This window comes from Homo sapiens, chromosome 3 (assembly GCF_000001405.40).
Source record: "Homo sapiens chromosome 3, GRCh38.p14 Primary Assembly".
NCBI lineage: Eukaryota > Metazoa > Chordata > Mammalia > Primates > Hominidae > Homo > Homo sapiens.
This window is the reverse complement of record NC_000003.12, coordinates 33,030,053-33,051,623: the sequence shown is the minus strand read 5'-3', so window position 1 is coordinate 33,051,623 and position 21,571 is coordinate 33,030,053. Positions and strand designations below refer to the sequence as shown.

Below are 21,571 nucleotides of genomic sequence, written 5' to 3'. Positions count from 1 at the left end.
TTTCTTTTTTTTTTTTTTTTGTAGACAGTCTCACTCTGTCACCCAGGCTGGAGTGCAGTGGTACAATCTCAACTCACTGCAGCCTCCACCTCCCAGGTTCAAGGGATCCTCCTGCCTCAGCCTCCAAGTAGCTGGGATTATGGGATTACAGGCATGCACCACCATGCCTGGCTAAGTTTTTGCATTTTTAGTAGAGACGGGGTTTCACCATGTTGGCCAGGCTGGTCTTGAACTCTTGACCTCAAGTGATCCTCCCACTTTGGCCTCCCAAAATGCTAGGATTACAGGCGTGAGCCACCATGCCTGGCCCTAAATTTTCTAACATATAAGGATTACCTATGTAATTTTAAAAAATAATATTTCTTACTTTTTTTTTTTTTTTTTTTTTTTGAGACGCAGTCTCGCTCTGTCGCCCAGGCTGGAGTGCAGAGGTGCAAATCTTGGCTCACTGCAAGCTCTGCCTCCCGGGTTCACATCATTCTCCCACCGCAGCCTCCAGAGTAGCTGGGACTACAGGCACCCGCCACCACACCCAGCTAATTTTTGTTTTTGTATTTTTAGTAGAGACGGGGTTTCACCGTGTTAGCCAGGGTGGTCTCGATCTCCTGACCTCGTGATCCACCTGCCTTGGCCTCCCAAAGTTCTGGGATTACAGGCGTGAGCCACTGCGCCTGGACAAAATAATTTTTAAGGGAAATAAATGTGAGCATTTAGAAGCCTTACTGTTTTAAACCAGGGTAGTTGGGCAGGCTTCAGTCACAGTCTATAACTGTAGCTTATTTGTTCAAATATTCTACTGTGGTCTCTTTCTTTTAACGTTTTGTTTTGTTGAGGTATAATTCACAAACCATAAAATTGACAATTTTTAAGTATATGATGCAGTGGTATTTACTGTATTCACAAAGTTGTGTAACCATTACCATTATCTAATTCAGAAACATTTTATCACCCCAAAAAGAAACTCCATACCCATTAGCATTCATTCCACACTCTCCCTCCTCTCAGCCCCTGGAAATAATATACTTTCTGTCCCTGTGGGTTTGCCAATTCTGAACATTTCGTATAAGTGAACCACATATATACACCTGTATGACTTCTTTCATTTAGCCCAATGTGTTCAACGCTCATCCACGTTGTTGCACGTACTAGTGCTTCATTCCTTTTTATTGCTGAATAGTATTCCCTTGTGTGGATGTACAGTATTTTATTTATCCATTCATTGGTTGATGGACATTTGGGTTATTTGCACATTTTGGTTATAGTGTTGCTTTGAACATTGATGTACAAGGATTTGTTTGAATTCCTGTTTCAGTTCCTTTGGGTGTATACCAAGAAGTGGAACGGCTGTGTCATATGGTAACTCTATGTTTAGAGTTTCAGGAACTGCCATAGTGTTTCCCAAAAAGGCCACACCACTTTACATTTCTGTATTTTTTTGTGTAGGAAAAATTATGACAAAATTTTTCTGTAACGTCTTTGATTTTTGTTGTTTTTTTGCAAAGACAGATGATGCTGTACTGGCTTTTCGCTAAGCTTCATTTCCCACCTGTCTCTTTATTTGCATTTTTCTCTCTGAATCATGGAGGATGCCCAGCTGTTGAGTTTTGAAGGCTTAGTTTGGGCCTAAATCTCTCAGGATCTGAAATTGGATACTATCAGCTCTTAATGAAGTTTCTCCTTTGAACTGCTATCTTTTTTGCAGGCTGAGATGGGCTAGGAGAAGACATCGCTTACAAGCATTATCAATTTTAATACTATTAGTAGAGCCAAGAAATGAAGATATTGCAAAACTCAAATGTCACTGCATATAAGATAATAGTGTGCCTGGGGCGTGTCTGGGTGGGTGAGGGGAGGGAGAGCATCAGGATGAATAGCTAATGCATGCAGGGCTTAATACCTAGGTGACCAGGCTGGGTGCGGTGGCTCACGCCTGTAATCCCGGCACTTTGGGAGGCTGAGGTGCGTGGATCACGAGGTCAGGAGTTTGAGACCAGCCTGGCCAACATGGTGAAACCTTGTCTCTACTAAAGATACAAAAAATTAGCTGGTTGTGGTGGCGCTCACCTGTAATCCCAGCTACTCGGGAGACTGAGGCAGGAGAATCACTTGAACCCAGGTGGTGGAGGTTGCAGTGAGCTGAGATCGTGCCATTGCACTCCAGCCTGGGTGACAGGGTGAGACTTTGTCTCAAAAATAAAATAAAATAAATACCTAAGTGACCAGTTGATAGGTGTGGCAAACCACCATGGCACACGTTTACCTATGTAACAAACCTACACGTCCTGCACATATATCCCGGAACTTAAATTAAATTAAAAAAAAGGAAAAGATAATAGTGTGCCAAGGTTGGTCACTGATATTTTAGATAATCCCTCTGTGTTCATCTTATGAGAAACAGTTGAGACCTGGTGGGTGCCTTTTTCACTTAGTAGATGGGGATTCCCCCTAGCTGCCATTGATGGGATCGGGACCAATCATCCGATCCAGGAAAAAAGGCATCGTTTTTGGAACTTTATGGTTCATGACACAATTTTTTAAAAATCTTACTGTTATACTTAAAATAACACATTCATCTTAAAAAAAAATTGGACATTATAGAAACTGTCAGAACATAAATGTTGTCCTTAATCCTCTCTCCTGCCCCTCCCTCTGCCATAATCCATAGAATTCCCCTTTCTTCCTCTGTTGCCTTATTTAGCCTGCATATTAGCCTCATCTTAATTAGAGATTATCAGCACCACTTTTCAGATAAGAATAGCTGAATACAAAAAAAAGTCCACACGTTTTCTGTTCAGCTGGCAAGGGGTGAAGCTTGGACTGGAACTCAGGTGGTGGTGAGCCAGAGTCACTGCGCTTTGGATCACCCTTTGCACCCTGGAGCCCCTGAGCCAGCCCCCACACCCACCCCACTGTGTTCTGCCAAGCCTCCCTGAAGCTGCTTTTTGCCCTGTCTCTTTGAGGAAGTGAGAGAAGGCCAGTCTGTACTTAGCAGCTGTTCTTCAGGCCAGCTTCCTAGAGGAGAGCAGGGAGAGAAAGGCATCAGGAGTGGGGAGTTCACTGCCCATCCCACCCACAGGAACATGCACCTGCCTGTGCAGGTGTGTGTCTCCTTCCTCCACACCTGTGTGTGTCCACAGCTGTGTGATGGCTGCCTACAGGGTCCAGGCGCTCCTGTACTTCTCACACAATGTGGAATGTTGATGAATGCAAAGTCTCACCATTTCTTTCACCTTCCCACCTCACACCCTCTTAAGTGGCCAGAGGAGGCTTGAATCTGCACCATTTCTCTGCGATGCTGCCCTTTGGTGGTCTAAAAACACCCAAAGTAAGATTCTGCCAGTAGAACTAGAACAAATACTTAGTCTTCCAATCCATCCTTAAACCCACTGGACAGCTTCCCAGCCTGGGCTCCCTCGGCCTGTAAAGTGTGCTTCTAGAGGTCACACTTTCCCAACTCAACCTGGCAACCCCCTCCATGCTGGGCTCTGGCTAAGGACTCAAGGGCAAGTGAGGCACAGTCTCTGCCCCTGAGGTGCAAGCAGTGTAGCATGGAGAGAGACATAACAAATAAGAAACACAGCACAGCATGGGTGACTACCACATTAGAAGCAGACGAGGGCCACAAAGAAGGTGAGTTCCTTGCAGCAACGGATGTGGGTTTTTTTTTTTCTTTGTGTCTCACAGGAAGGGATGTGTTTTAACCTATGAATCCCTTAAGGCAGGCAGACCTGTTGGCTGTGAGTTGTCTCTGATTAATAAGAAATGGGGGAAATGGTATGACTAGATCAGTTCAGTTGGTTGAGTGGTCCAGATCTTTCAAAGTTTAGATTCTGTGCAGAGAACTAATGAAAAAGTCTTTGGAGCTGACCTGCTTGATCTGATCCTCAGCCTTGCTCATCTGTCACCTCCACAACCAGTAGGTCACCCAAGGTGGCTCCATCATTGGTGAGCTGCATCCAAGGAATTTATTACTAATCCTAGGTAAACTATCATGTTTTGTGCCTCATTGATGTACAAATTAGGTTGGACAAAAGACTATTCCTAAAATAACTTCATTCTCACACACTTGCATTGCAATATGCTCTCTGAAGTAGAGGAGGAAGGCACAAAGCCTTGCTGGTCTATGGATGGCAGCATCAGCGTCACCTGGACACCTGTTAGAAATGCAGTTTCAGGCCCCACTCCAGACCTGCTGAATTAGAATCTCTGGGATGGGGCTTAGGAATCTGTTTTAACAAGCTCTCCATGTGACACTTAAGCATGGGTAAGTTTTTGAAGTACCACCCAATGTTGCAGACAACCTCATACCTGTGAACATCATCCCTGACAAGGTCGGGATCCTCTGGTCTAGACCCCGCCCCTTGCACAGTGACTGCAGGGGCATTTGTTTTTCTAGTCCTTTTGTATACTCAGTGTTGGCATTATCCATTGGTCTTTGTTGTAGGTCAAGTTCCCAGGGAAACAGACTCTGAGATTACCTGGTAGAAAGCTTATTGATTGTGCTCTCTGGAGCAATGCCTGTAGGATAGAGAGGGAGAAGTGGGGCTATGATGCAGCTTCACAAGTGGCCTCATCCAATCTTAGAGGGAGCTCTGCAGCTGGGTTGGCTGTTCGAGGCACATTGGTCAGTTGTTGGATGTGGGCTATCCCTGAGGGTTGTAACCTTGGGTGAGGCAGCTCAGCACAGGCCAGCACCCAGAGACGGACACATCTGAGAAATGTCAGCAGACAACAGCCCTAGCTGCTGGGAGAATGAGTGAGTGCCCTGGTTCTAAAGGGGGATCCAAGAGGTGCACCACAGCCCCATCGACAGTCTTTGTAGATGCAACAAAGGCCCTCGGATTATGTTTGAACCTCTGTGGCTGATGTGGGTCTGCTGTCATCTCCCGCTGTGTTTGGTTTAATAAGCCCTGGGTTTTCTGCTGATCCATGGCCTAGTCATCTGTGTCTTCACCACTGAGCTTTTCTCAGCCACAGCTTGAGGACGTGAAAAAGTTCAGAGTTGACAGGATTAACAGTCAGAGATGGGGGTCATATCATAAGCCCTGCCATTACTGCTTGTGAGGTGTTAGCAGATTTTTGTGGGGAGCTTCAGATTCCCTGCTTGTCCAGTGGGGGTGATACCTGCTAGAATCACAGCTGTGAGCTTCTGTAGAGAGTGGATGGAAAGAGTCCTTGGTAAACTCTAAGGTGCCTGGTAACTGCTACCTGTAGAAAGAAATTCCTTCCTCTAAACGTTGCATCCTGAGGGTCACGTCTGTGTCTCCCAACAAGTGGTTTTAATGTGTCTTCTAGTTTTCTCTCTCTACAGTGCTGAGCTCATGGATCCCAAAGAACTTGTCCCAGAGCTGCACCATCAGTAATAACTAGTGGCACATTTTTGTCTTCTAGGGGCCAACTCACCCTATGCAGCACAGCCCACCAGCTACGACTATGATGCCCCACTGAGTGAGGCTGGGGACCTCACTGAGAAGTATTTTGCTCTGCGAAACATCATCCAGAAGGTGGGTGCTTTGTATGAGCTGTGGTGGGCTGATCTTGGACAGAGCCTCTTTTGAACTCACTGTGGCTCTGTGGACAACTTCCTGCCTGGAGCCCTCCTGTTTAAAAGGATGGATGAAGGGAGGCATCAGCTAGACTTGGGTTTGCATCTTGTACCCACGTGGTTAAGAGTGAGTCTATGAGCAGATGCTTATAGGAGAGTAGGAGATATAAGACATGTATTTAAAAACTGCAATATATAATACAGTGTTAAATGCTACTTACAGATTCACTTCTTATATGGTGAGAATTCACCCGGGGAAATTTCTGTCTCCATTTTCTTCTCCTTCCAGGCCAGATTATCTTTCCAAAAGTTCAGGTGAGAGGTAGGGTGATGGGAGAGAATGCACAGATCCTCTTGAGACTATAGCCCCTATTAAGGCAGCATGGATATATGGGAGCCCCTATCCTTGAGACACAGCTAATGTACTTCAATATCAAAAGAGGTAAAGCTAAGCTCTGGTTTCTTTATTTAATGCATCATCTGAAAAAAGTAAGTTTCCAGTAACCAAAGTGTATAAGAATTATTTCTCACTAGAAAATAACTCCGTCCTTATTTGCAAGAGAGAAGAAGATAAACTATTTTCCTTTTTATGTGTGGCCCAATATACAGACTATGTGATTTCAGAATGAGGAACACCAGATTTTGAACCTGGACACTATTTCTTCAACCTTAAGCCAATTGTGTAAATTCCCTTTATATAAAAGTAGAGGTAGCCGTACTTACCTCACAGACTTGTACAGTTTAAAAATAAATGGCACTCAATAAATGTTTGTTTTCTTCTTTCATAGTCAAATAAATGAACAATAATTATTTATTTACCTAAAAAAAAAAAAGAGTGAGTCTATGAGCAAATCAGTCTACTGATTGTTAATTTGTAAAACTGGGATTACAGCATCTGGTTGTGCTGTAAAGCTTGAAAAGAACGTATGTAAGCCATCCAGGACAGTTCCTGACACATATATGTCTAATAAGTGGTAGCCGTTAACTATTATTTATCTTAAATGTAAGAAAATGTGTGTCTACTTAAATAGCTGATGTACATAGGAAAAAAAATCTTCAGATACTGTGAAGCATGGTGCAGATGTCAGCTGTCAGTGAAGCTTCATTTTTCTATTTGGAGCAAGTGATTGCTGTTTCTGGACTGCATCTGAACTGCTTAGTCCTGCTAGCGTTGTACCCTTTTGAGGCACCTAATGCACCTAGGTGGGGTTTCCTGTCTCTGCTGTGGGTTAAAAGAAAAAACCCACAGTTTTTATGCTCAGTCACCTGAGTTTTGAAGTTAAAAAAACAAAGGTTTTCTGCCTATAAATGGTATGGTTTTTTTTGTTTTAAGTATGATGTCGTTTTAATTTTAAGCATGTGTTAAAATGAATATTACAAATTTTTTAAATATAAAAAATACAATCTAGACTTACCACACTTATAATTTGTCCATTTCATCTAAATTTTCAAATGTATTGTTAAAATGTTGCTTATGTTATTCCTTTATTATGGGTTTAATCTCCACAGAATTTATAGTAATGTCTCCCAAGCTCTCCCTTGTATGTTTGTTCTGTTTTGAAGCTTTCTGTTCCTATCTTTATTATTTCCTTCCTTTATTTGAAGCTTAGCTTTTTAATGCAGCCTTTCTTCTTTTCTAATATAAATATTTAAGGTTATAAATTTCCTTCAAGTACTGCTGTGGCTTTATCTCGTAAGTTTTGATGTGCAATCTATTTCTTACTGTTTGCTTCTAAACATATCTATTTTGATTTCTCTTCACCATTGATATGTGTTTTTTAAATTACTGGAAATAAGTACTTTCCTGTTTTTTTGATTTCTAGTCTTTTTGCATTCTGGTTAGAGAATATAGTCTGTGATACCAATCCCTTGAAAGCTGCTGAGCCTAGTCTTAGAGCCTGACATACACCAATATTAATGGTCAATGTGCGCATAAAAAGAAAGTATATTTTACAGTTGTTGACTATATTCTACATACATGTTCATCAGATTAAGTTTATTAATGGTGCCATTGATATCTTTGATCTGCTTCCTAATTTTTTGTCAGTTCAGTCTACTATTTAGTGAGAGTTGTCCTCATGTATTTCCCTTTGTAGCTCTGCCAGTTCTGAGGTTATGTTATTAGGTGGGCAAATTGAGAATTACATCCTTCAGTACTTAATAGTAAAGGGATTATATAACCCTCTATTTCTAATAAGGCTTTTTGCCTGGAAGCCTTTTTTTTTTTTTTTTTTCTTTTTTTGGTCTGTTATTCATTAACACCATTTACCTGCATACTTTTGCTTGGTATTTTTCTGAGGTATCTTTCCCAATGCTGTAATTTCATCCTTTTTATATCCTTTGTTCTGTTTACATGTGTCCCTTATAAACAGGATATAATCGAATTTTTAAAATATCTAGTTTGAAATTTCTTGTCTTTTAACTGATATATTTATACATTCTCATTCATTGTACTTCTTGATATACATAGATGAATTTCAATTATCTTATTTTATAATTTCTATTCGTTTACCTTTTTGGCTCTTTCTTTCCCTTTATTGCTTTCTTTTAGATTGAGGTTTTTTGTTTTGTTTTGTTTTTTCCTCTTATTTCTTTCCCCCCTCTTCTACTTTGGAAGTTATTCACTGCATTCTAATTTTTTTAGTGGTTACCATTTAAGTGTGACATCTATACCCCCAGAAAAGAACAACTCGTAGTACACAGCTCAGTGAATTTAGGCAACGGGAGCGCAGCCCTGTGACAAACACATAGCTCCCCGGAAGCCCCTCTAATGTCCCTCTCTAGTCATTGACACACATACCCATTCCTGAGCTCACAGCTGTCCTCACCTCTATCACCAGAGATTCATTTTGCTCGTTTTTAGGCAGCAAGTTCCTACAATATACACTCCTGTGTCTGGCTGTCTTGTAATAGTTTAAAATTAATCAATATCTTTACTTTCTCCATATTGCATCCCTCTTTAACTTACTGTAACTCCAATTACAGCCCTCTTGATTTGTATGTTATTATTGTCATGTATTTTAATTCTCTGGGTTTAGTTTTCATGTATTTTAGTTCTCTCCTTAAAAAATAAAACCCATGGGGCATTACTACAATGGCTTCAGATAGTATTTCACTTGACCCACATAGTTCATTTATTGGCAAATGATTTAACAAACATTCATCAAGTACTCTGCATGCGCCAGGTTGCAGTTTTAGGTGCTTGGTGGCTGTAGGCTTTCCTGAAAAGGTGGAGCTCAAACAAAAATTTTAAGGTGGTGAGAGAGCCATGTGGCATATCTCCGCCTGGACAAGAGCATTCCAGGCAGAATGCAGCCAGTGAGAACTTGGGAAGGTATATGGCATTTTTAAAGACTAGCAAGGAGGCCAGTGTGGCTGGAGCCCAGTAAATGAAGGGGTAAGAAGTAGGAGAGGCTGTGCGCGGTGGCTCACGCCTGTAATCCAAGCGCTTTGGGAGGCCGAGGCGGGCGGATCACGAGGTCAGGAGATCGAGACCATCCTGGCTAACACAGTGAAACCCCGTCTCTACTAAAAAGACAAAAAATTAGCCGGGCATAGTGGCGGGCGCCTGTAGTCCCAGCTACTCCGGAGGCTGAGGCAGAAGAATGGCGTGAACCCGGGAGGTGGAGCTTGCAGTGAGCCGAGATCACGCCACTGCACTCCAGCCTGGGCGACAGAGCGAGACTTGGAAAAAAAAAAAAAAAAAAAGGAGGAGATGAGGGGTCAGGGATATAGATGGGGAACAGATCACATGGAGCATTACAGGCCATTATAAGACTTTGGCTTTTACTCTGAATGTAATGGGAATCCATTGAGGAGTTGAGCAGAGCCGTTGTTAAAGCATTCTATTAAAGCAGATTCCAGCTGCTGTGTTGAGATTAGACCCTGGGAGGTGCGGCAAGGGTAGAGTAGGAAGACCAGTTAGAAAGTTTTTGCAGCCATCTCAGTGAGAGGTGATTGTGGCTTATGAAGGTAGTAGGAACTAGGCAGTTTCAGAATATATTATGAAACTAGTGCTAATATAATTTTCAGATGGGGAGTATGAAAGAGAGGAGAGTCGGGTGACTCTAAAGTGTTTTAAATGGCAACTTGAAGGACAGAGTTACCATTTATGTGGGGGGAAGATCAGGAGTTCAGTTTTGGCTGTGCAAAGTTAGACTTGTCTAGTATATGTACTAGTGGAGATGTAGAGTAGGCAGTGGATATATGAATGCACAGCTTGAGACAAAGGTCTGGTACCTTTGTCCCAGGACCACACTTTTCTTTATCTTCTATTGCTTCTTCTGCCTGAAGTATATTCTTTAGAATTTCATTTAGTAAGCAAGTTATATTAATTCTTCTTTGTCTGAAAATTTTTTTTTCACCCTCATTTTCAAAATGCAGTTTTTCTTTTCTTTCTTTCTTTTTTTTTTTTTTTGAAGACAGGGTCTCACTCTGTTGTCCAGAATGAGTGCAGTGGTGAGATCTTGGCTCACTGCAACCTCTGCCTCCCAGCTTCAAGCGATTCTCCTGCCTCAGCCTCCCAAGCAGCTGGGATTACAGGCGTGCATCACCACACCTGGCTAATTTTTGTATTTTTAGTAGAGATGGGGTTTCACCATGTTGACCAGGCTGGTCTTGAACTTCTGACCTCAGATGATCCATCTGCCTCAGCCTCCCGAAGTGCTGGGATTACAGGTGTGAGCCACCATGCCCGGCCTCAAATTGTAGTTTTTCTAAACTGATAGTTTTCTCTCAGCATACTGACTTTGGGCTTTTATTGTTGCTGCTGAGAAGTCAGTTTACTGTACTCTGTCACTCTCTTGAAGATAATCTATCTTTCCTCTTGGACAGCTTCTGAGATTTTCTCTTTATATTTGACGCTGTATAGTTTCTCTGTGATGAATCTAAGTGTGACTTTCTTTTCGTTTATCCTGCTTGGTAGTTTTGGAACTTGTGGCTTGGTATCTTTTTTCACTAGTCCTAAAAAGTTTATGCCATTATGTCTTCAAATATTTATTTCTATTAGATAATTTGTTAGACCTTCTGATTCTAGCCTTCACAGCTCGTAATCTCTTTTTCTCTGTGCAGCATTCTGATTGTCTTGAAATATGTTCTTCAATTGTTGCTTTCTCTTTAGTAGCTATAAATTCTAAGATTAAAACCTTTCCATTGAATTATTAAATTATATTTTTCATTCTATAAGTTCACATTAGCAGTTCGAATTTTACTCAGCCATTTTTAAATTCTCTTGCTTTTTCCTTATGTATACATGTTCTTCTTTTATTTCTTTAAACATACTAGAGATACTTCTGTTATATATCTCTATTTGATCATTTCAGTATGCAGAGTCTTTCTTTGTCTCATTCTGCCTTTTGTTGTTTCTGTGACCTCTTGTTCATGGTGTCTTGTTTCTGCGTGTGTGTTGTGATTTTGACTGAGCTGAATTTCTTGGAACTTTTTGTTGTTGTTGTTGTTGTCATTGTTCTTAGAGACAGGGTTTCACTCTCGCCCAGGCTGAGTGCAGTGGTGCAGTCCTGGCTCACTGCAGCCTCAACCTCCCGGGCTCAAGTGATTCTCCTGCCACAGCCTCCTGAGGAGCTGGGACTACAGGCATGTGCCACCATGCCTAGCTAATTTATTTTTTATTTTTTTTTTGTAGAGCCAGGGTCTCACTATGTTGCCTAGGCTGGTATTGAACTCCTGGGCTCACTCATGGAACTTTTATCTTTAGGAATTATTTGAGATTTGGGGTGAATGTGGGTTCTTCCAGAGAGAATTAGCATTTGCTTCTGGCAGGTACCAGGGAACATTACGCCTTAAATTAAAATCTTAAATTGAGGGATTTTTTTTGTACTACAGAAGCAGTGTGAATTTTAGCTACAAAATATATCAGAGGGCTGACTGTGCATATGAATTTTCAAAGGAGATTTATTTTCTCCCTACCTATTGCCATGTAACAAAGTACCCCTAAACCTAGTAGCTCAACATAACAAATATTTATTATATCACAGTTTCTGAGGGTAAAGGATCTAGGAACAGCTTAGATAGATGTTATGTCTAAGCTACTCCTAGGGCTATTTTTTTATTTCTATCAGTTTATGCAGTCTTAAAAATCAGCATTTTCAAAATACCATTCCATATTTGTATGTATGACCTCCATCATTTCTTTTGAAAAATCACCTGTCACTGGTTTTCCTTTGATGGTATAGGTCTTTTTTTCTCTAGTGCTTTTAAGATTTCCTTTTCATCTTTGATTTTTAGGAATTTTCCTATGGTATGCCTATGCATAGTTTTCTTTATATACATCTTGTTTGAGGGTGTTTGAACTTCCTAAATCTATGGCATTATTTCTTTTGTGGATTTTAGAACATTCTTGGCTGTTATCTCATCCAATGTTATGTTTACTTCGTTCTCCCACCTTGCCTTTCAGAACACCAGTGATATGTGTGTTAGACGTTTTTTCCTGTGTTCTGTGTATCTCCTAAGCGCTTCCATTGTTTCTATCCTTTCCCCCGAACATATTTTAGTTTAGATTTTATTCTGACCTATCTTCTAGTTTATTAATCCTCTTTTCAACTGTCTGAGTGAAACCCATATTATAGACTCAATTTCAATGATTGCATTTGTCAGTTCTAGAGCTTCCATTAGATTTTAAAAATTGTTTCCAGTTCTCTGCTGAAATTCCTCATCTTCTTTTGTTGTATGTCTATTGGCATAATTTTAAGCTTTCTTCAGATTATTCCAATACCATGATGTCTTATGGGTCTGTTTCAATGGCTTTTTTTTCCTTTTTTTTTTTTTTTTTTTGAGACAGAGTCTTGCTCTGTTGCCCAGGCTGGAGTGCAGTGGTGTGATCTCAGCTCACCGCAACCTCCACCTCCTGGGTTTAAGTGATTCTCCTGCCTCAGCCTCCTGAGTAGCTGGGATTACAGCTGTGCACCACCACACCTGGCTGATTTTCATAGTTTTAGTAGAGATGGGGATTCACCATGTTGGTCAGGCTGGTCTTGAACTCCTGACCTCATGATCTGCCCACTTCGGCCTCCCAAAGTGCTGGGCTTAGAGGTATGAGCCACTACGCCCGGCCCTGGCTTTTTTTTCTATTCGTTTTTGATCAGATAGTGTTGTCTCCTATATGTTGGGTTTTTTCTCATCTAGAGGTCAATAAAACAAAAAAGAAAGAGATAATTTGGGTTATATATGTTTTTTCTTCCAAAAGAGATTTACTTTTACTTCTACCAGGCAGTTAGAGTAGACAGAGATCATCTTCATGCAATCAGGGATTAAGCTAATTTGAAAGTGGGCTTCTGTCTTCTTGAGGGTTGGTCCGCTTCTGGTTCACTTTCTTAGGGGTCTCAACTGAGAGCTTGAAGTATTTACCAGGGTTCTTTCTCCGTTCTGATCTCTGAAGTCCAATTTTTATCTTCTCAGCCCTAGAAGACTCCCAGAAGTTGTGTTCGGCTTCTAGCCTCTCAGTTGGCCCTTGTGAATTGACAAATACCTTGATGGGAAAACTAGTAACAAATATCAGACTTGCATCATGACATTTTCCATTTTTTTGGAATTGTAACCACTTAATTCCTTTCTGCTTTGGTAGCTTTCTGATGCTTTCAAAAAGATATTTTAAAACATCTTGTACAATTGTTCTAGATGTTTTCCACAGCAAGATTTGTCAACAAAAACCTAGTTTCAGAGATTTACTTACTCCCTAAGAGATTCTCCAGAATTTGCTATACACAAAGGTGTTAACCTTCAGAGCACAGGGCAAACCTTTCACAAATTATTTTTCTGAGATCTGTCGATCATCCACTTAATCATTATACAAACATTCAACACCAGTCTTACAATTTCCGTGTTAAATGCTAGAGGTGAGTGATAAGTCTACCATGGTCCTGTGTTGGAGGGGCTCACAGAAGAGATAAATTTGAATTTTTCTCTTTAAGCATCCCTCTTACTCCAGAGTTTCTCCAAATAGAATGAAATCATCTTTAAGCAAGTTTTAAAGATATGGCAGATATGCAATTTGTTACCTCTCTCACCAATCTGAGCCTTTTTTTTTTTTTTTTTTTTTTTTTTTGAAGAGTCGCCCAGTATTGTGTGAGAGGTAGAGTCACAGATTGGAGAAGCTTTGGAGAGAGACAGAACAAAACTTGAGTGTTGACTCCAGTACTCAGTGGGCAAGGTACCCTCCTTCCACATCTGTGCAATACGGTTAGCATGTCTTCTCAGAGAATAATACATAGCAGTTATTTTTATTACTGTTTTTCTTCACTTATGTCATTGTAAAATTTCAAACTAGAGTTAAATATTCCCCTGGAAACTTGTGCCCACTTATGCTCAAAGCCTCTGTTGACAGTGCCCTTTAGTAGCTGCAGTAATCACCATTGCTCAATTGCTCCCAAGAAAATCAAGGAGGAAGTATTATTCTGCCATTCTATTAGTTTTTATGTGGTGTCCAGACCCAAAGGGTATCCTGTTACAGAGAGTGTGACATGAGCACTGTAGTTTTTTCTAGGTAAGAGTTACTGTTCCATGTTTAGTTTGGGTGTCTTCTATCAGCCAGGACTACTGATTTACTTGATTTGATTATAATGCCTGTGGACTTGTTTCTTTTATAGACTATTGCTTCATTTCACAATCCACTTCAGGTTTATTTATTTTCTAAACAGATTTGTTGAGGTATAATTCACATACATTTCTCCCATTCAAAGTACACCATTCAATGTTTTTTGTTATATTATTAATTTTTTAGGCCAGGTGTGGTGGCTCATACCTGTAATCCCAGCACTTTGGGAGGCCGAGGCAGGCAGATCACCTAAGGTCAGGAGTTCGAGACCAGCCTGGCCAAAATGGTGAAATCCCATCTCCACTAAAAATACAAAAATTAGGCTGGCATGGTGGCGCACACCTGTAATTCCAGCTACTCGGGAGACTGGGGCAGGAGAATCGCTTGAATATGGGAGTCAGAGGTTGCAGTGACCTGAGATCACACCACTGCACTCCAGCATGGGTGACAGAGCAAGACTCTGTCTCAAAAAAAAAAAAAAATTAATTGTGGTAAAATATATATAAAACAAAATTTGCCATTTTAACCATATTTAAATGTAAATTCAGTGCCATTAGTTATATTCACAATGTTATACAGCCATCACCATTATCTATTTTCAAAACTTTTTCTTCCTTCCAGACAGAAACTCTGTAACCATGAAGCAATAGCTCCCCAGTCACCCTCTCCTCAGCTTCTAGTAGCTCCTAGTCTACTTTCTGTCTCTGTGAATTTGCCTATTCTAGATATTTCATATAAGTGGCATCATAAAATATTGGTCCTTTTGTATCTGGCTTATTTCACTTAGCACAATGTTTTCAACGTTGTAACGTGTCAGAATTTCATTTCTTTTTATGGCTTAATATTCCATTGTATGCGTATATGATATTTTAATTACCTATTCATTTTGTTCATCTGGTGATGACCATTTCAGTTGTTTCCATCTTTTGGCTATTTGAATAATGCTGCATTGAACATCAGAGTACAAATATCAATATGGATAAGTCTCTGCTTGTCATTCCTCTAGGGACATACCTAGAAGTGGAGTTGCTGGTAGGCTTATTTTTAGAATTATTTTCTTTCTGAAATAGTGAACTTTCCTAATGTGGAAAAAATCAAATCAAGTTTTAAAACACATATTTACATAAGCTTTATTGCATAAAATATCACTTTACTTTTGGCCTCATTATAACAGCACATTTTTATTCTCTCATACTTCTAGCTACTTCTTCCTGCCATCCCCTATCCCTGAAACTCCACACACTTTTCTTGACCTTCCCTTGCTCTTCTGATCGATGGCTGGGATAATCTTACACCATCACCCTCAATCCTTCTGTATGCAGCTGTTTAAGAGGCCCTGCTCTATGAACCACTGCTGGGACCATTCTGACTGTCACACTCTGGAACCAGAGCCAGGCAGAAGAATTTTAAACTTCAGTATTGACTGGCCAGGAAGGGATCTTACTTCCAATCTGATTTGGATCTTTCATGATCTCTAGTTCTCTTTTTGCCCTTTGTCATTCCTTCTTCTCACTGTATGGTATAAACCATCACCCTTACACTTTATCCTAATGTACAGGTGACACTGTCTCCTACTTCACCAAGAAAATAAATGCTATTGAATACACCAAGTTAAGGAGCTTGAATTATAGGTAATGGTGCCTTTGAAGTAGTTTAAAGAAGAAAATGATATAATCGGCTATGCATTTCAAAATGGCTATTGGATGAGGCAACAAAAAGGAATGTGTAGTTAGAATGAATCAAGAAATCATTACAAATTCCAAGTGTCTTAGTCAGTTTGAGCTACAATAACAAAGTACCATAGACTGGGTGGTACTTATGGTTCTGAGGGTGAAAATGCCGGCATGGTTAGGTTCTGGCGAGGGTCCTCTTCCACATTGCAGAGCACTGACTTCTAATTGTATCCTTAATTACAAAAAGGGGGCTAAAGAGCTCTCTGGGATCTCATTTAAGGCACTAACCCCATCTCAAAGTCCTTACCACATAATACCATCACCTTAAGAATTAGAATTTCAACATATGAGTTTTGGGAGGACACAAATGTTCAGTCCATAACAAAAAGATTAAATGATTAATCACAAATATCACCTTTTTTTTTTGAGACAGTGTCTTGTTCTGTTGCCCAGGGTGGAGTGCAGTGGTGCAATCATAGCTCACTGCAGCTTCAAACCCCTGGACTCAAGCGGTCCTCCTGCCTCAGCCTCCTGAGCAGTTAGAACTACAGGTGTGCGCCACCACACCTGTCTAATTTTTAATTTTTTTGTAGCGATGGAGTCTCCCTATGTTGCCCGGGCTGCTCTCGAACTCCTGACCTCAAGCAATCCTCCCACCTTGGCCTCCCAGAGTGCTGGCATTACAGGCATGGGCAACTGCGCCCAGCCTACAACATTTTTTTAAAAACATCATTTGGTTTTATTAACTGCTTGAAACTTCTACCATTCTTCATTCCTTACCTTTTGTTTATTTTTTTAATAAGCAATATGACTTTATTTAGTGACTTTGGAAACAAAACCTCCCAAATAATGCCTGAACCCAAAGTTACCTAAAAATGGCTAAAAATATTTTAAAATAATAGATTTGAACATCATTTGTAGTTTCTGCCTCATAACATGAATGCTTTCAGCTGGACAGTAGATTACAAACCATCTCTGATCATGTTAAGGCAGATTAGATGATCAGTCAGTCCTGGAGCTGGCAGGTGGGAGGCTCTGCCTGTCTTGTCACTGCTTGTTATGCTGGCCCTCTATGACTGAAGCTGACACAGAGCCCTGGCCCTTGTTGACATCACTGATACACACCCACTGCCCATCAACCAACTGCTTCCTCAGGGTCACCTTATTGTCTCCACCAGAGATGGCCAATATGTTGGCTGTGATGGACCTGCCCGCATGCTACATGACATCATTGAACTTGTGCAGCAATTTGGGAGACCATATATTTCCCAAGGCATCATCACAGGTCCAGATGAACACACGACCATCCCAGGAGCAGCTGGCAATGGTGCTGGTGGGCAGGCTGATGGAGGGGGCCCAGGCCACATCTCAAACCCAGTCACTGTGCTTCCAGCTTCTGCTCTCCTTCCACTGGCCATCCTTGAAGAGGTTGTCACAGCCACCTGATGGAAACTTCTTGATGTAATTGGGTTTCTGCCTGAACAGCTGGTCTATGAGGCTTCCAGGTACAACAGCAGGGGCCTAGCTGATGGCATTGCAGCCAATGGTGTAAGCGTTGTTGATCTTTTTCACTTCCCATTGGCCTTCCCCTGTATAAGTCAGCAGGAAGATGGCCCCATCTGAGCTCCTACAGGCCAGGATCAGGCCGTAGTCATGGGGGACCTAGCATACAGAGTTCACGGAGGAGTCATATCCTGAGGGGTCGTGGGTCTTCTCCCAGGTGCCGTTTTCCTCTTTCCAGATAATGACTTTCCAATCATAGGAGCACAATGCCAGGATATTGCCATATGTGGGGTGAGCCCAGGCCACTTGCCACATAGGACTCTCATGACTTCTGAGGTTGGCAATGAGGATCTGCCCTCTGTTGTGCACTTTGAAGATTTTGACGGATTTTTCTGATGAGCAGGTTGCCAGGCGGGTGCCATAGTAGTCCATCTGGGCATCATAAATCATATCCTTATGGGAGGTATCCACAGTGTTAATTACTGACACCATGATACCAGCGTGACTGCTCTAGGGACGTGGCAGCTCCTGGTGGTGCCTCCCCATTCCTTACCACCTTTTTTTTTTTTTTTTTTTGAGACAGTCTCGCTCTGTCACCCAGGCTGGAGTGCAGTGGCACGATATTGGCTCACTGCAACCTCTGCCTCCCAGGTTCAAGCGATTCTCCTGCCTCAGCCTCCTGAGTGACTGGGATTACAGGTGCACGCCACCACACCTAGCTAATTTTGTATTTTAGTAGAGACGGGGTTTCACCATGTTGACCAGGCTGGTCTCGAACTCTTGACCTCAAGTGATCCACCTGCCTGGGCCTCCCAAAGTGTTGGGATTACAGGCGTGAGCCACCCCGCCTAGCCTCTTATCACCTTTTTTAGCAACAATGTTTGCCTCTTCAGATGGCCACAATGTTTGTAATCTTTTCCTCTAGAGAGAATAGAAATCTTTCTTTTTAGCCTGGCTGATTGAAATTTGTTTAGTATTGATAGTTTAGAAAAACAAAAGCTTCACATTTTATTACTGATAATATTATATAAATGTTTAAGATTGTAATCAAAATTGGGGAACTATCTCTCCAGTTTGTTCATATATGAGCTATAATTTTTGGAAGAAATTTTCACAGACAGGTTCTGGCCCCATACATTTCAAACCTTGCTTCTCCACAACCCATGTACTTCCGGGGCTGGGTGCCTTTAGGCATAATTGTATTGCACTATGATGCTAAGTGAGTCAGCACATTGGGTGAAGGGATGATCCATTATTCATAACTTACCTACTCACGGAAGTAACCAGGAATCATATCAGTATATCCTACTGTACCCATGTAAAGTAAATCCCTACTTTAACTGATTTTTACTTGGGTCCCCAAAATGCCTATAGCAACCTGTAAAACCTCCCAAAGGAAGAGGACATTTGACACAGGGAAGCTGGAACAGAAAGAGACAAGGATCTTAGCTTGTTATGGTCAAATTATATTACTTTTGCAAGTTTTACAAAAACATATGACACTATGAACATGCTGGTGGGATTCCTCCCTTGGGGCACTTCTGGATGCAGCTGCCATGGTAGCCTAGGAATGAGATGACGGCAGGGGCATCAGGGAGTGGAGAGGAAGAAATCAATTTGAAAAACATTTAGGGCTGGGCACAGTGGCTCTTGCCTGTAACCCCAGCACTTTGGGAGGCCAAGGTGGGAGGTTCACTTGAGGCCAGGAAATCAAGGCCAGCTTGGGCAACATAGTGAGACTGTCTCCACAAGAAAATTTAAAAATTTAAATTAGGAAAGAAAAGTGTTCAGGAGGTAAAATTGATAGGATTTGGTGATTGACTGAACACAGATGTGAGAAAGAATGAGGAGTTGTTGATTTTTCCAGGTTAAAACCTTAGTTAGATAACTAGGTGGGTACTGGGATCGGCACCTGAGATAGAGGATTGCAGAGGAGGCCCTGGCAGGGACAGGGGAAGCAAGTTCAATTCTGGGCTTATTCAGCTCAATATTTCCAGGAACATCCAGGTAGACAGATTTCTCCATAAGCACCAACACTTAATAGTAAGACACTCCAGGGAGAAGTCGGAAAGGTTGGCGCAGATTCTGGGGCGATCAGTGCAAATGGAAGCCGAAGTCCAGGGAGAGGTTGAGACTGCACATGGGGAGCTGACTGAGGAGGGCAATGGGCCAAGCAAAAGACAAACCCAGGGGATCCCAAGCTTTAACAACTGGGCAGAGTAAGAGAACCCACAAAGGAGACAGAGTCTTTAGAAATTGCCAGGCTCAGTGGCTCACGTGTGTAATCCCAGCACTTTGGGAGGCCGAGGTGGGTGGATCACCTGAGGTCAGGAGTTCGAGACCAGCCTGGCCAACATGGTGATACTCCATCTCTACTAAAAATTAAAAAATTAGGTGGGCATGATGGCGTATGCCTGTAGTCCCAGCTACTCTGGTGGCTGAGGCAGGAGAATCGCTTGAACCCAGGAGGCAGAGGTTGCAGTGAGCCGAGATCATGCCATTGCACTCCAGCCTGGGTAACAAGAGCAAAACTCTGTCTCAAAAACAAAACAAAACAAAAAAAGAAATGAATGTAATTCAATAGCTTATGATAGATTGCAGCTTAACATGTCATATTTTCCCTCTTTTTTTGATATTTCTGGTTTGAAAGAGAAATTAACTACAAGATTTAGTGGAGATTATATATATATATATATATATATATATATATATATTTTTTTTTTTTTTTTTTTTTTTTTTTTTTGAGACAGAGCCTTGCTCTGTCACCCAGGCAACTTCCACCTCCCTGGTTCAAGTGATTCTCTTGCCTCAGCCTCCCGAGTAGCTGGGATTACAAGCGCACACCAATGCACGTGGCTAATTTTTGTATTTTTAGTAGAGACGGAGTTTCGCCATGTTGGCCAGGCTGGTCTCAAACTCCTGACCTCAAGTGATCCACCCGCCTTGGCCTCCCAAAGTGCTGGGATTACAGGTGTAAGCCACCGCACCCAGCCAGTGGGCTCTTTCTTATGAGACTTTGTAGACATTCCATTAGCTGATTTGTTAAATGATCTTCAAAATATTTGCTTGCATCAAGTAAAGGAAATTGGATGGTAGATATCCCCTGTATATAGCTCTACCTGCCTCCTTCCTTCATCAAAGACTCAAAAAGCGGAATATGTCTCCTCTGTAATCCATTTCAAGAACACATTAGGTGGTGATGGGCAATATATTTCACTGACATGGACTCCTGGGGATAATCTCCCAGCAGGCTGCATAAGCCTGTGCTCAGTGGTGAAGGCCCCCAGGCGGTTGTCTTCATATGAATCTTCAAGGCATGGCAAAGCTCATGACATTTGCATTTTAAAAGGTATTTGCTTTGGTGTGGGTAAAACTCAACCAAACATGGTTAACACTTTGACCTCGAGGATGAACCATAAAAATATAGGGCAGCGACCTCCTCTTCCCTACTGATTCCTGAGAGGGGCAGTGGTGAGTTTATTTTTGTATGCTGTCAAATCAACTTAAGACCCATTTTAAGAGTTTTGTTTCTGTTCTTTATAGGGATTCCATCAACGTAAGAGTTCCGCTGATGTTTTGGAAATGGGTCACTGTAGAAATTAATCAAGTGGTAGTGAGGACCTTGATAATTGGAGTGGATTCTGGGATTCCCAAAGGTAGTAACTGGGCTGAGTGGTGAAGAGGGGATGGGAGAACAGCCACAGTGATTTTTTCTGTACTTCAAAAGCTTAATGAAGTTTGAAATTTGATCCAGGATTTGTCTACACTGGCTGATTGATCATCCTGCACTGTTTATGACTGGAATGACATTGGCTTGATACGCAGACACAGCTGTCTCTTGCTGATGTATAGTGCTGGTGAAAACCAGTGTTTTATGTCTGATGGTTACAGATGAGAAAGGCAATATTACTTAGCAACTGTTAAATAGTCTTTTAAAGTGTCACCTGCTCTCTTGTAGTACTGGTCTCTTCGTTTCCTGTAGAGTTGGCTTTTCTAGTCCCTCTCCCAGAGTGATTTCTCTAAAACACTGATGTGATCGCTTCTCAGTCTTTTGGCTAAGATCAAGTGTAGTATCTAAAACACTGATGTGGTCAGGATACCTTCCATGACTTGGCCCCTATATTTTTCCAGCCTCATCTTTCAATTCTCCCTTCTTAGATGTGACTTCCTGGCCTTAAGTTGGAGCTATATACAATTCCATGAATGAAACAGCACTGTTTATACCTCCTGGTCTCTGCACCCTCTGCCTTTATTCACCTGGAAATGAAGACACACCTCAGTTACCTTATCTGCAGAGTCTTC

At 41.6% G+C, this 21,571-nt stretch overlaps 1 protein-coding gene and 1 pseudogene across 5 annotated transcripts in view, besides 1 other annotated feature; one reads left to right on the top strand and one right to left on the bottom strand.

The window, feature by feature from the left end:
- Positions 1-21,571, top strand: part of GLB1 (galactosidase beta 1) — a 136,039-nt gene that overhangs the window by 45,523 nt on the left and 68,945 nt on the right. For all 5 annotated transcript variants that reach the window (NM_001393580.1, NM_001135602.3, NM_000404.4 and 2 more), the window contains one exon: positions 5,392-5,504. In NM_001393580.1, coding sequence (NP_001380509.1) covers positions 5,392-5,504 — 113 coding nt within the window. The remainder of the gene's footprint in view (positions 1-5,391; positions 5,505-21,571) is intronic.
- Positions 14,978-16,177: an enhancer, noted in NCBI's record as "MED14-independent group 3 enhancer chr3:33076939-33078138 (GRCh37/hg19 assembly coordinates)". NCBI's record gives its function as "activates an origin of replication core promoter dependent on BRD2, BRD4, P300/CBP and CDK7 cofactors, and independent of MED14, by STARR-seq in HCT116 cells {active_cell/tissue: HCT116}" and the evidence as "EXISTENCE:reporter gene assay evidence [ECO:0000049][PMID:35650434]".
- SEC13P1 (SEC13 homolog, nuclear pore and COPII coat complex component pseudogene 1) lies at positions 16,617-17,810 on the bottom strand (annotated as a pseudogene).